General features: G+C 39.0%; 1 protein-coding gene across 12 annotated transcripts in view; it reads right to left on the bottom strand.

Annotated features, from left to right (window-relative positions):
- The window catches only part of ZDHHC15 (zDHHC palmitoyltransferase 15), a 154,611-nt gene that overhangs the window by 36,490 nt on the left and 101,649 nt on the right, over positions 1–16,472 (bottom strand). For all 12 annotated transcript variants that reach the window (XR_001755658.3, XR_938393.3, NM_001146256.2 and 9 more), the window contains one exon: positions 12,171–12,274. Coding sequence is in view for 10 of the 12 variants with exons in the window: in NM_001146256.2 (NP_001139728.1) it covers positions 12,171–12,274 (104 nt within the window). In the remaining 2 variants the exon portion in view is untranslated. The remainder of the gene's footprint in view (positions 1–12,170; positions 12,275–16,472) is intronic.

The raw sequence follows: 16,472 nt of genomic DNA on the forward strand, positions 1-16,472 counted from the left end.
CACATGCACACAAATGTTCACTGCAGCACTGTTCACAATAGCAAAGATGTGGAATCAACCTAAATGCCCATCAATGACAGACTGGATAAAGAAAATGTGGCACCCATACACCATGGAATATTATTCAGTCATAGAAAAGAATGAGATCATGTCTTTTGTGGGAATATGGATTGAGCTGGAGGCTATCATCCTTAGCAAACTAACTGAGGAACAGAAAACCAAATACTGCATGTTCTCACTTATAAGTGGGAGCTAAATGATGAGAACTTATGAACAAAAAGAAGGAAAAAACAGACACTGGTGTCTACTTGAGGGCAGGGGGTGAGAGGAGGAAGAGGAGCAGAAAAGATGACTATTAGGTACTAAGCCTAATACCTGGGTGATGTAATAATACATACAACAAATCCCCGTGACATGAGTTTACCTATATAAGAAACCTTCACGTGTACCACCAAACCTAAAATAAAAAATAAAAAATAAGAAACAAGACCTAACTATGTTGCCTACAAGAAATCTATTTCACCTATAAAGACACACATAAGTACATAAATGGAAAATGATACTCCATGCAACTGGAAACCAAAAAAGATCAGGAGTAACTTACTCATATCTGATAAAATGAATTACAAATAAAATATATAGAAAGAGACACAGAAGGTCACTATATAATGATAAAGGGTCAATTCAACAAGATGATATAACAATTATAAATATCAATGCACTCAACACAGGAGTACTGAAGTATATAAAACAAACATCACTAAATCTAAAAGGAAGAGATAGACTGCAATAAAATAACAGTAGGGCAGTTTAACACCCCATTTTCAGTAAAGGGAGTATCCTCCAGACAGAAAATCAACAAAGATATCAGAATTAAACTACACACTATACCTAATAGGCCCAAGTGACATTTATGGAACATTTCACACAATTGCTACAGAATATACATTCTTTTCTTCAGCACATAGAGCATTCTCTAGAATAGGCCAGATCTTAGGCCACAAAACTAGCATCACCAAATTCTAAAAAGTAGAAATCATATCAATTACATTTTCTTGAGCTTCATTTTCTGTCCTGATTTTTAAAAAGTATTTTTTCTGACCACAATGGATAAAACTAGAAATAAATAAGATGAACCCTGGAACCTGCACAAACACATAGAAATTAAAAAGCATGCTCCTGGGCCAATGAGTCAATGAAGAAAATTAAGAAAGAAATTAAAAAATGTCTTGAAACAAATGGAAATGGTAGTACAACATACTAAAATCTATAGGACACAGCAAAGCAGTACTAAAAGGGAAGTTTATATAAATGCCTACATCAAAAAAGTAGAAAGACTTGAAAAAAGAACGTAACCATGCACCTTAAGGAACTAGAAAAGCAAGAATGAACCAAACACCAAATTAGTAGAAGGAAAGAAATAATAAATATCAGATCAGAAACAAATAAAATTAATATTTTCCAAAGCAATACAGAAGACCAATGAAACAAAAAGTTGGATTTTTGAAGATAAAATTGACAAAATATTAGCAAGATTAACCAAGGAAAAAAGAGAGAAGACCCAAATAAATAGAATCAGAAGTGAAAATGGGATATTACAACTGATGCCACAGAAATACAAAGAATCATTAGAGATTATAATGAAAAACTATACACCAACAAATAGGAAAACCTTGAAGAAATGGATAAATTCCTTGACACATACAACCTACCAAGGTTGAACCATGAAGAAACAGAATGCTGAATAAACCAATGAGTAATGAGATTGATGGTGTAAAAAAAAGTCTTCCATCAAAAAAAAAAAAAAAAAGATGGCGTCACTGCTGAATTCTACCAAATGTTTAAGGAAGAACTAATAACAATTTTACTTAACCTTTCACAAAAATTGAAGAGGTGGGAATACTACTAAACTCTACAAGGCCAGCATTACCCTGATACCCAAACCAAACAAGGACACAGTGAAAAAAGAAAACTCAGGCCAATATCACGGATGAACACAAAATGTTAAGATCCTCAACAAAATACTAGCAAACTGAACTCAATCACAAATTTAAAACATTAGTCAGTGCTCAATGTTGCCCAGGCTGGAGTGCAGTGGCGTGATCTTGGCTCGCTACAGCCTCCACCTCCCAGCTGCCTGCCTTGGCCTCCCAAAGTGCCGAGATTGCAGCCTCTGCCCAGCCGCTACCCCGTATGGGAAGTGAGGAGCGTCTCTGCCCGGCTGCCCATCGTCTGAGATGTGGGGAGTGCCTCTGCCTGGCCGCGACCCCATCTGGGAACTGAGGAGTGTCTCTGCCCGACCGCCACCCCATCTGGGAGGTGAGGAGCGTCTCTGCCCAGCCGCCCCGTCTGAGAAGTGAGGAGCCCCTCCGCCCAGCAGCCGTCCCATCTGGGAAGTGAGGAGCCCCTCCACCCGGCAGCCACCCCGTCTGGGAAGTGAGGAGTGTCTCCACCTGGCAGCCGCCCCGTCCAGGAGGTGGGGGGCAGCCCCCACCCAGCCAGCTGCCCTGCCCAGGAGGGAGGTGGGAGGCAGCCCCCGCCCGGTCAGCCACCCCGCCTGGCCAGCCGCCCCGTCCGGGAGGGAGGTGGGGGGCAGCCCCCGCCCGGCCAGCCGCCCCGTCCGGGAGGGAGGTGGGGGGCAGCCCCCGCCCGGCCAGCTGCCCCGTTTGGGAGGTGGGGGACAGCCCCCACCCAGCAGCCGCCCCGTCTGGGAGGTGGGGGGCGCCTCTGCCTGGCCACCCCATCTGGGAAGTGAGGAGCCCCTCTGCCCGGCCGCCACCCCATCTGGGAGGTGTGCCCAACAGCTCATTGAGAATGGGCCATGATGACGATGGCAGTTTTGTCAAATAGAAAGGGGGGAAATGTGGGGAAAAGAAAGAGAAATCAGATTGTTGCGTTGTCTGTGTAGAAAGAAGTAGACATAGGAGACTCCATTTTGTTCTGTACTAAGAAAAATTCTTCTGCCTTGGGATGCTGTTAATCTATAACCTTACCCCCAACCCCGTGCTCTCTGAAACATGTGCTGTGTCCACTCAGGGTTAAATGGATTAAGGGCGGTGCAAGATGTGCTTTGTTAAACAGATGCTTGAAGGCAGCATGCTCGTTAAGAGTCATCACCACTCCCTAATCTCAAGTACCCAGGGACACAAACACTGCAGAAGGCCGCAGGGTCCTCTGCCTAGGAAAACCAGAGTCCCTTGTTCACATGTTTATCTGCTGACCTTCCCTCCACTATTGTCCTATGACCCTGCCAAATCCCCCTCTCCGAGAAACACCCAAGAATGATCAATAAATACTAAAAAAAAATAAAAAATAAATAAATAAAACATTAGTCACCACAGTCAAATGAGATTCATCCCAGGGATGCAAGGATGGTTCAACATACACAAATCAATAAATTTGATGCATCACATTGACAGAACCAAGAAAAAAAGCACATGATTATTTCAATAGCTGCTGAAGAAGCATTTGATAGAATACAAGTTCCCTATATGATAAAAACCCTTAACAAACTGGGTATAAAAGGATCATACCTCAAATTAATACAGGCCATATATGACAAACCCACAGCTAACATAATACTGAATGGGAAAAATTGAAAGCTGATCCTCTAAGATCTGGAACAAGATGAGGAGGCCCACTTTCACCAATTTTATGCAACATAATACTAGAAATCCTGGCCAAAGCAATCAGATAAGAGAAATAAATAAAGGGGATCCAAATTGGAAAGGAAGAAGCCAAGTTATCCTTGGTTGCAGATGACCTGATATTTAGGAAACCCTAAGAACTCCACCAAAAAACTGTTAGAACTAATAAATGAATTTAGTAAAGCTGCAAGATACAAAATCAACCTACGAAAATCAGTAGAATTTATGCACACCAACAACAAACAATCTTAAGAAATAAATCAAGGAAGTAATTCCATTTCAAATAGTTACAAAGTATATAAAATACCTAGGAATTAATTTAAGAAGTGAAAGATCTATAGAAGGATAACTATAAAACATTGATGAAAAAGGTTAAAGAGGATATAAAGGAAAAATGGAAAAATATTTCATGTGCATGGATTGGAAGAAGAATCAATATTGTTAAAATGTCCATTCTACCCAAAGCAATCTACAGATTCAATGCAATCCCTATCAAAATACCAATGGCATTCTTCACAGAAATGGAAAAAATAATTCTTAAATGTATGTGGAACAAAAAAAGACCCCAAATAGCCAAAGCAATCCTGAACAAAAAGAACAAAACTGGAGGCACCACACTACCTAATTTCAAAATATACTACAAAGTGGTCAGGCACTGTGGCTCATGCCTGTAATCCCAGCATTTTGGGAGACTCAGGTGGGCAGATCACTTGAGGCCGGGAGTTTGAGACCAGCATGGCCAACATGGCAAGACCCTGTCTCTACTAAAAAACAAAAATTAGACAGGCATTGTGTACGCCTGTAATCCTAGCTACTCAGGAGCCTGAGGCAAGAGAATTGCTTGAACCTGTGAGGTGGAGATTTCAGTGAGCTGAGATTGTGCCACTACACTCCAGCCCAGGCAACCAAGGAAGTCCCTGCCAAAAAAAAAAAAAAAAAAAAAAAAAAAACACTACAAAGTGGTGGCTCATGCCTGTAATCCCAGCACTTTGGGAGGCTGAGGCGGGCGGATCATGAGATCAGGAGATTGAGACCATCCTGGCTAACACGGTGAAACCCCGTCTCTACTAAAAATACAAAAATTAGCTGGGCGTGGTGGCAGGCACCTGTAGTCCCAGTTACTTGGGAGGCTGAGGCAGGAGAATGGCATGAACCTGGGAGGTGGAGCTTGCAGTGAGCTGAGATTGAGCAACTGTACTGCAGCCTGGGCAACAGAATGAGACCCCATCTCTAAAAAAAAAAAAAAAAAAAAAAAAACAACAACAACAACACTACAAAGCAATGTTAAGTAAATCAGCATGGTGCATGGTGTTGGGATAAAAACACACATAGACCAATGAAGACAATAAAGAAACCAGGTCTAAGTCTACACATTTACAGTCAACTCATTTTTGACAAAGGTGCCAAGAACATACAATGTAGAAAGAACAGTCTCTTCAGCTGACGGTGCTGTGAAAACTGGACAACCATATACAGAAGAATGAAACTAGACCCATATCTCTCTCCGTATACAAAAGTCAAATCAAAATGGATTGAAGACTTAAATCTAAAGCCTGAAATTATGAATTGACTAGAAGAAAATTTGGGGGAAATGCTCCAGGACAAGACGTTGAAAGCACAGGCAACCAAAGCAAAAATAGACAATTGGGATTACATAAAGGTAAAAAGCTTCTGCACAGCAAAGAAAACAACCAACAAAGTGAAGAGACAACCCATAGAATGGGAGAAAATATTTGCAAACTATCCATCTGACAAAGGATTTATAACCAGAATATATAAGGAGCTCAAACAACTTAATAGCAAAAAAGAAAAAAAAAGAAAAGAAAAAAGAAAAGAAAAAAGAAAAAGCCAAGTAATCTGATTCTAGAATGGGCAAAATATCTGAATAGATGTTTCTCACAAGAAGACATACAAATGGCCAACAGGTATATGAAAAATGCTCAACATCACCAATCTTCAGGGAAATGAAAATCAAACCATTGTGAGATACCATGTAATCCTTGTTAAAATAAGACCGTGAATAATGGATGCTACCAAGCACATGAAAGGGGAATGCTTGCACACTGTTGGTGGAAATGTAAATTAGTACAGTCACTATGGAAAATAGTGCAGAAGTTCTAATAGAAACTAAAAATAGAACTACCATAGGATCCATCAATTCCACTACTGGGTACACATCCAAAAGAAAGGAAATCAGTGTATCAAAGAGATATTTGTACTCCTATGATGTTTACTGAAGCACTATTTATAAGAGCCAAAATATTAGAACCAACTTAAATGTTCCTCAGTGGACTAATGAATAAAGAAAATGTGGTATATGTACACGATGGAATATTATTCATCTATAAAAACGTTAAAATCCTGTCATTTGCAGCAACATGGATGGAACTGGAGGTTATTACGTTAAGGAAATAAGCCAAGCACACAAAGACAAATATTGCATATTCTTACTCATATGTAGGAGCTACAAAAGTGGATCTCACAAAGATAGAGAGTAGATTGGTTGTTACCAGAGGCCAGGAAGATTAGGGAGGAGAGGAGAATAAAGAGAAGTTGATTAATGGGTGTAAGTATACAATTCGATAGGAGAAATAAGACCTTGTGTTTGATAGATCAGTAGGTTGCCCATAGTTAACAATAATCTATTGTACATTTTTTTTTTTGAGATGGAGTCTGGCTCTGTCGCCTAGGCTGGAGTGCAGTGGTGTGATCTCAGCTCACTGCAAGCTCTGCTTCTGGGGTTCACGCCACTCTCCTGCCTGCCTCAGCCTCCCGAGTAGCTGAGACTACAGGTGCCCACCGCCACGCCCGGCTAATTTTTTGTATTTTTAGTAGAGATGGGGTTTCACCCTGTTAACCAGGATGGTCTCGATCTCCTGACCTCGTGATCCGCCCGCCTCGGCCTCTCAAAGTGCTGGGATTACAGGCGCGAGCCACCGCGCCCAGCCTGTACATTTCGATATAGCTAGAAGAGAATAATTTGAATGTTCCTAGCCTAAATAAAAGATAAATATTTAAAGTGATAGATATCCCAATTAACCTGATTTAATCTTTACACATTATGAATGTATAAAAATATCACATGTACCCCTTAAATATGTACATCTATTATAAAAATATTTTTAAAACCACAGTGCAATTTTGAGTTCCTAGATTCTTTGTGTTAATAATTTCAAGTAAAATAAGTATGGTTTCCTCATAGTGATACATCCAAAATTTAAAAAAAAGAAACAAGAAACTGGAATTTTGAAATCTTAAAAAAATGAAAATGCAACTTACAGAATGAGACAAAATATTTGCAAACTGTATACCTGATAAGGGGTTCATATCCAAAATATATGAAGAACTCATCCAACTCAATAGCAAAAAAACAAATAAACAGATTAAACAACGGGTGAAGGACCTGAATAGACATTTCTCAAAAGAAGACATTCAAATGGCCAACAGGTGTGTGAAAGGATGCTCAACATCACCAATCTTTATGGAAATGCAAATCAAAACCACCATGAGATATCACCTTCCACCAGTTAGGATGGTCATTCTCAAAAAGTCAAAAGATAACTAACGTTGGTGAGGATATGGAGAAAGGGAATCCTTATCCATTGTTGAGGGGATTTGAATTGATATCGCCATTACAGAAAACAGTATGGAGGTTCTTCAAAAATTGAAAAATAGAACTACTATATGATCTGGCAATCCCCCTTCTGTGTATATATCCAATAAAATAAAATCAGTACCTCATAGAGATATCTGCAATCCCATGTTTACCACAGAATTATTCACCGTAACTAAGCTATGGAAACAACTGACGTGTCTGTGGATGGATGAATGTATAAAGAAATTGCGGGACAGATATACAACTGATTATTATTCTTTTTTTTTTTTGACACGGAAGTATCACTCCGTTGCCCAGGCTGAAGTGCAGTGGCGAGATCTTGGCTTACTGCAACCTCCACTTCCCGGGTTCAAGCGATTCTCCTGCCTCAACCTCCCGAGTAGCTGGGATTACAGGCACGTGCCACCACGCCCGGCTAATTTTTTGTATTTTTAGTAGAGATGGGGTTTCACTGTGTTAGCCAGGATGGTCTCGATCTCCTGACCTCGTGATCCACCTACCTTGGGCTCCCAAAGTGCTGGGATTACAGGTGTGAGCCACCACGCCTGGCTATTATTCAGTTTTTAAAAAGAAGGCCATTCTTCCATTTACAACAACATGGATGAGACTGGAGGATAATGTTAAGTGGTATAAGCCAGACACAGAAAGAAAAATACTGCATGATCTCTCTTATGTGTGGATTCTAAGACAAAGAGAGCCAGAGAATACAACAGTGGTTACCAGAGGCAGGCAGGGTTGGGGGAAATGTAGGCCAAAGTGTACAAAGTAAGTAGTTATTTAGGATGAACAAATCTAGAGATTTAAAGTACAGCATGGGGACTATAGTTAATAATATTGTATTGTATACTGGAAATTTTCTAAGAGCATAGATTATAAGTACTCTTATCCCACAAAAAAAGGTAACTATGTGAGATGATGTATTTGTTAAATTGCTTACTTGTAATCATTTTACTATGTATTTGTATTTCAAAATATCATGTTGTACATCTTAAATTTTTACAATGAAAGAAAACAAATAAATAAGCATACATATTTAAAAACTAGAGTTATTCCTTTGCAAATAGAAAGAAACATTGCTCTGCTGCTGGAGTCTTTGTCAATGTTGCTGTTAACTTTATTTCATAGAGAATATTAACTGTGGCTGTCTCCTGCAGATTTCCAGGGATACTGCATCTCAAATAAATGACCACAATCAAAGAGTTCGGCAACTAATTTGAAAGGAGTGACACTTGGAAAATGGCAGAGCCTTTGTTACTACTGAAACAATAAAGAAACATATGAGTTCAAGACCAGCTGGCCAGCATGGTGAAACCCCAACTCTACTAAAAATACAAAATTAGCCAGGCATGGTGGCGCATGCCTATAGTCTCAGCTACTTGGGAGGCTGAGGCAGGAGAGTCACTTGAGCCCGGGAGGCAGAGGTTGCAGTGAGCCGAGATTGCGCCACTGCACTCCAGCCTGGATGACAGAGCGAGACTCCGTCTCAAGAAAAAAAAAAACAAACAACAACAACAAAAACAAAACAAAACAAAAAAAAACACAGAACATTCAAAAAGGCACCAGAGCCATAAAGATGTAAAAAACTGAGAAATCAGCTGTACAAGAAATATTAAGGAACTAAGATTACTCCCAGCCCCCGACCCCGAGAAAGCTGAAGAAGTTCTTTATGGGCTTCACATACAGGCAAGCTCTGACCCACAGCAGTTTTCATTTAAGAATCACCCTGACAATCATACCCAACTTATTATTCATGATACTCATGACAGGTAGAGCCATAGATGCCACCCATCCAATTTGAAGGAAATGGATCCCAATTTGAATAGAGCAGAAAGAATTATACTGTAATCTTTAATTTTCATTATGTAAGCTACAGGAAAATTTATAATGAGCAAAAGTGGTAATATAACAGACATCTCTGGATCATTTCCTCAAAAAGCTAAAATATAGCCCCAAGACTCAAAAGTCTTTAAAAAGATGCCTGTTAAATCTCCTCAGAAGACTACATGGATCTATACACTGTGTATTTATGCGTTTTCTATATATTTGTGCATTAATTAAACCTTTTATTTTCAAAAATGACATCAGAGAAGCCTATTTAAATCCCTTGATTTCATAAAGGTGTTTCTTTACCTTATAATTTGCTGTGCTAATACAAGGCCATGATTTCAAAGAACACAAAGGCTTTATGTAGTTCCTGACTGTGATATTATATTTGTACCTAACAGGTTATTGTTAGCATATTTTATCTTTTTTTTTTTTTTTTTTTTTGAGACACAGTCTCGCTCTGTCGCACAGGCTGGAGTGCAGCGGCGCGATCTCGGCTCACTGCAAGCTCTGCCTCCTCGATTCATGCCATTCTCCTGCCTCAGCCTCCCGGGTAGCTGGGACTACAGGTGCCCGCAACCACGTCTGGCTATTTTTTTTTTTTTTTTGTATTTTTAGTAGAGATGGGGTTTCACTGTGTTAGCCAGGATGGTCTTGATCTCCTGACCTCGTGATCTGCCTGCCTCGGCCTCCCAAAGTGCTGAGATTACAGGTGTGAGCCACCACGCCCAGCCAAAAGTTTGTTTTATATTATGCAATGTACAAGTACGTTTTTTTTTTGAGACAGAGTCTCACTCTGTCGCCCAGGGTAGAGTGCAGTGGCACGATCTCAGCTCACTGCAACCTCCATCTCCTGGGTTCAAGTGATTCTCCTGTGTCAGCCTCCCGAGTAGCTGGGATTACAGGTGTGTGTCATCATACCTGGCTATTTTTTTTTTTTGTACTTTTTTAGTAGAGATGCGGTTTTGCCATGTTGGCCAGGCTGGTCTCAAACTTCTCACCTCAGGTGATCTGCCCGCCTCAGCCTCCCAAAGTGCTGGGATTACAAGCGTGAGCTACAGCGCCCGGCCATACAAGCACATTTATACTAAATGAAATGTTATATTTTGGGCTAGGAATAAAAATTCCACTTGATTCCTAAAAGAAATTAACTTAAATACACACATGTAATTTCAACTTACAGCACCTTTCCTAGGAATCTAAGTTGTTAAAAATGTAAGAACTGTTTGTCTATGACAGTTATGCACAGAAAATGGGAGCAACTGAAGTTAACATAGAATCAACCTAACAAATAACACAGCATGAGAACTTGCATTAGATACTAGAATGGGTTACAAAGGAGGATTGTGGAGTCTCCTTCAATGAACTTAAAAAAAACCCCTCAGCTATCTAAGATGGCATAGTGGTCTTGCTAAAGCTAAAGGCACCTTACAGTTTATGATTTTATGATTATGTAAGAAGCAGTTGAATGCTTCAGATCACTAAATGGCATGCAATCACAGCACTGTGTCTCATATGTACTTGTCCAAAGGAGAGACCTAGCATTGTAGTGGAAAAAAACTAGGATTTGGAATCAAGATACCTTGACATGTGAGATTAACATCTCTCAATTTTAGTTTCTTAATTATAAAATAGGGATGCTATTAATAACACTGCCTATCTAACCTGAAAGTTGTGAGGGTCAAAGGATATGAAGAAAAAATATAGGAAAGCACTTTGTAAACTATAAAATAACATACTAATTTTTAATGATTGAATATTTTTGAAAAGGTCTGGAATTGGAGACTGCTTCAAAATATAACCTCTTTATGATGTGATGCTATATCTACATTTAAAGTATTCCACTTGCCAACACAAAGCTCAGCTATGAATAGCTTTTTTCATTGTGAATTATTTCAAACCAGGTAAAGACCTGATAATTATTTGGCTTCTATTAGAGTTTGGGTTTAATACCAAAATAAGAGTTGTTATAACTTGTGACTGCTGTAAGTAAAAGTCAGTTCAGAAAGACTGAAGACTGAAGGAAGACAGGTCAAAATATAGTCAATTTTCCAATAGTCAGCAGGAGGAAGTAAGGGAGTTGCCCTTGTAAGTTCTTTGGGATGGACAATAACTGTTTTCTTTTTTATCTATGGATTTGTGGCTGTTTTGTATTCCTTGGGCCTAGTAACATGCTTTTCTCTAAAACTAGATTTCCTGGTAATCAGGGCCTGGATAATCCAACTGGGTAAAAAATTAGAAAGGCTTGTTCTCTACCGCTGCTCCCACTTCAATACTTTTCCATGTCTTCATTTAGCCTCCTTCACCCCAGGTACAGTTTGTGATAGCTACTACAAGTTCCTACTCAAAATTGCTGCCAGCTACTGCATTATTGGGAACAGTAGCCAAAACTACTTTCTAATGGTTGGTATTAGCAACATAAGTAAATGTTGGAGACACAAAAGTAGGCACAGCAACAGGTGGAGACAAGGAATAGGGCTGGCAATGGGGATACATTATATGAGAACTCAACTTTTAGCTCTTTACAAAATGCCTTAGGATGACCCAGTGACCTGGTAGGAGAAAGTTGAAGCTTATTTTCCTTTGCCCCTCTTCCTTTTAGAAAAGTAGACTACATGCATGTGTAGGCTTGCCCCATTACTATCTTTTAGTTTTTAGTGTATTGAAACCATTCTAAAAAGAGAGTGAGTATAGGATTTTAAAGAAAATTTAACCAATGTGAATGAAAGAGGATGGAGAAAGGTGCAATGTTGCCCATTGATTAAATTGAACTCCACATTCAAGCAAAGTACTACAAGTGACTACCCAGCAGGATTGTTTAGAAATCCATATATATCCAGATGTATATCTGACTGGTAATATAAATCACAGAATCACAAAGCTGGTAAGGAGCCTCCCAAGCTGCAATCTAATCTTATCTAAACTACCCATGGTTACTAAACAAATATGGCCATACTTGCTCTCCACCATCCAGAGGACACTTATGAGGTTGACATGCTTATAAAATCTTTCTGGACACTATTTACTCACCACATTACATTGGTTGTATTAATGTGGACTTCATAGTCTTTGACCCCACTTACCTTGGTTGTCATCCTCGTTGTCTTCCCAGGTTTCTTCATTTGCTAGCAGTGGGTTCTGTGACTCATTCATAGACCTCATAGGGAAGGAGTGTCCATCACCAGGGCTGATGGGAAAAGAAAGGCAGTGACCTATTGCAGCTGACATAGACTTTTGTGAAGGTTATAATCCTCTTAAAAACAAGAGGGGGGTTCTTAGCCATATTTAGTCTCATTGTCTAAAGCCATGGTGGAATGGGCTCTTACAATAGCATTATTTAGTTGCTATATTGCTCTCGATTTCCATATCTTATTTGTGTGTCTGCATCAGTGTTAACTTCTTGTTTGTAAGAACTCTATAGTTTGCTTCCCAAAATGCCCAGTATGGCAATATGCACACACAGCAAGCTTCATACATATCACTTAATGATGATGATACCAATTTATATCCAATTATCTCACTGCTTTGATTCTAAGTTTTCAAGAAAGATGACCAGTCTCTGAAACACTAAATACAGTGGAGATAAGCTGGTGTGAATTGGTGAAAGACAATGCGCAAATGCACTGTTATTTATTTGGTGTGCATGGCAGAAAGGTTATTAGGAACTAGGGGAAAGAGCCAGAGTGAGCCATCTCTAGACTGCAGATTTTCAGGGCAATTATCCACATGTGGGGTCTCGCTTTGTGGCTACCTGTGGTAAGCTAGGGTCAACTCCTTGGGTAATTTCTGGCCACTAACAGATGGGATGCATTGGAGGGAACTGAGCTGGCCCTGGCTAGAAGAGGCTACAGTTTGAACATTTCAGTTTAGGTATCTGAATGCATTCCACATTTGAGTCTGAATGACTTTTGATGTTACCTATGCCTTTTCTCCTGTTCATGTATGTGGTAAATTGAAATTTGACAGATTTTATTGATAGCACTCTAAAGAGAATGTAAGTGTACTGATTATAAATGAATGGGCTTTGATTTTTGGTTTTGTTCTTTATTCCAGAGAAGACTGATTTTACATCTCCCTTTGATGTGGTGATGATGTGTGGATATTTGTGTATGTGAGTATGTGAATAGGGTATAGGTAATATCTGGTAACAGTTATTAATCAATATTACCCACTGACATAGTTTTGCCTTGTGATTTATAGACAGGTTAGTTGGATACACCACATCTCTGAAATACATGAGTCTTTAAAATACTAACTGCTACACAGGAAGTATCAAGGCAATCAATCAAGGAGAAATTTTTCCATAATTACCACCCTACCCCCAACAAAGTTACCTCAACTAAGTGAACATGAGTGTATTCCTGTCTAAGGAGGGGACTGAAAAGTGGCTGCAAGAAGGCTATAAGCAAGCTCTGCTCTAGAACTAGTTTAGTTGATGGTGGTTCAATCTGGTTCACAAAGTCATTCAGAGAACACAAGCTTGACTGTTTATTTCTCATCCACTACTTTCCCTGCATAATTGTTGCAGTTCTAAGAATGACCTACAACCGCAAATTAAACTATACTACAAGGCTACAGTAACAAAAATAGCATGGTACTGATATGAAGACAGATATATAGGCCAATGGAACAGAACAGAGGCCTCAGAAATAACGTCACAAATCTACAACCATCTGACCTTTGACAAAAACAAGCAATGGGGAAAGGATTCCCTATTTAACAAATGGTGTTGGGAAAACTGGCTAGCCATATGCAGAAAGCTGAAACTGGATACCTTCCTTACACGTTATACAAAAATTAACTCAAGATGGATTAAAGATTTAAATGTAAGACATAAAACCATAAAAACCTTAGAAGAAAACCTAGGCAATACCATTCAGGACATAGACATGGGCAAAGACTTCATGAACAAAACATCAAAAGCAATGGCAACAAAAGCCAAAATTGGCAAATGGGATTTGATTATACTAAAGAGTTTCTACACAGCAAAAGAAACTCTCATTAGAGTGAAGAGGCAACCTATAGAATGGGAGAAAATTTTTGCAATCTATCCATCTGACAAAGGGCTAATATCCAGAATCTACAAATAACTTAAACATATTTACAAGAGAAAAACAAACAACCCCATCAAAAGAAACTACCATCAGAGTGAACAGACAATCTACAGAATGGGAGAGAATTTTTGCAATCTACTCATCTGACAAAGGGCTAATATCCAGAATCTACAATGAACTCAAACAAATTTACAAGAAAAAAACAAACAACCCCATCAAAAAGTGGGCGAAGGATATGAACAGACACTTCTCAAAAGAAGACATTTATACAGCCAAAAGACACATGAAAAAATGGTCATCATCACTGGCCATCAGAGAAATGCAAATCAAAACCACAATGAGTACCATCTCACACCAGTTAGAATGGCGATCATGAAAAAGTCAGGAAACAACAGATGCTGGAGAGGATGTGGAGAAATAGGAACACTTTTATACTGTTGGTGGGACTGTAAACTAGTTCAACCATTGTGGAAGTCAGTGTGGCAATTCCTCAGGGATCTAGAACTAGAAATACCATTTGACCCAGCCATCCCATTACTGGGTATGTACCCAAGGGATTATAAAACATGCTGCTATAAAGACACATGCACACGTATGTTTACTGCGGCACTATTCACAATAGCAAAGACTTGGAACCAAGCCAAATGTACAACAATGATAGACTGGATTAAGAAAATGTGACACATATACACCATGGAATACTATGCAGTCATAAAAAATGATGAGTTCATGTCCTTTGTAGGGACATGGATGAAGCTGGAAACCATCATTCTCGGCAAACTATCACAAGGACAAAAAACCAAATACCGCATGTTCTCACTTATAGGCGGGAATTGAACAATGAGAACACATGGACACAGGAAGGGGAACATCACACACTGGGGTCTGTTGTGGGGTGGGGGGAGGGGGGAGGGATAGCATTAGGAGATATACCTAATGCTAAATGATGAGTTAATGGGTGCAGCACACCAACATGGCACATGTATACATATGTAACAAACCTGCACGTTGTGCCCATGTACCTTAAAGCTTAAAGTATAATAAAAAAAAGAAAAAACCAAACAACCCCATCAAAAAGTGGGCAAAGGATATGAACAGACACTTCCCAAAATAAGACATTTATGTGGCCAACAAACATATTAAAAAAAGCCCATTATCACCGGTCATTAGAGAAATGCAAATCAAAACCACAATGAGACACCATCTCATGCCAGTTAGAATGGCAATCATTAAAAAGTCAGGAAACAACAGATGCTGGTGAGGATGTGGAGAAATGGGAACGCTTTTATACTGTTGGTGGGAGTGTAAATTAGTTCAACCACTGTGGAAGACTGTGTGGCAATTCCTCGAGGATCTAGAACTAGAAATACCATTTGACCCAGCCATCCCATTACTGGGTATATACCCATCGGATTATAAATCATTCTACTATAAAGACACATGCACACGTATGTTTATTACAGCACTGTTCACAATAGCAAAGACTTGGAACCAACCCAAATGCCCATCAATGATAGACTGGATAAAGAAAATGTGGCACATATACACCATGGAATACTATGCAACCATCAAAAAAATGAGTTCATGTCCTTTACAGGGACATGGATGAAGCTAGAAACCATCATTCTCAGCAAACTAATACAAGAACAGAAAACCAAACACCGCATGTTCTCACTCATAAGTGGGAGTTGATCAATGAGAACACATGGACATAGGGAGGGGAACATCACACACCAGGGACTGTCCTGGGGTGGGGAGCTAGGGGAGGGATAGCATTAGGAGAAATACCTAATGTAGATGATGGGTTGATATGCAGCAAACCATCATGGCACGTGCATACCTATGTAACAAACCTGCATGTTCTGCACATGTACCCCAGAACTTAAAGTATAATAAAAAAAGAATTACCTACAACCTCAAATTAATCTTTGTTCTTGCTTTTCATATTTTTATTCATAAAATAATATTAGTATTAACCACAAAATATATAAAATGGAGAAAATATAAATAATTTCTAAGACTATTGCCCTTACCATTTTTAACATTTTTTGGTGTATTTCTCTTCTGCTGCTTCTCTTCTATATATATTTATGTTTTTAATCACAGTGTATTGAATTTTTCGTTTTTCACTTAAAATATAGTACCATTTTTACCATTTTTTGGTATATTTCTCTTCTGCTGTTTTTCTTCTATATATACTTATGTTTTTAATCACAGTGTATTGGATTTTTCTTTTTTCACTTAAAATATAGTAAGCACTTTCCCTTTTTGTGACATAGTCTTTATAACCATTACTTTTGATTGTATAATATTCCATCCAGTATGTGTGTA

The sequence above is a fragment of the Homo sapiens genome, chromosome X (genome assembly GCF_000001405.40).
Source record: "Homo sapiens chromosome X, GRCh38.p14 Primary Assembly".
In the NCBI taxonomy this organism is placed as follows: Eukaryota; Metazoa; Chordata; class Mammalia; order Primates; family Hominidae; genus Homo; species Homo sapiens.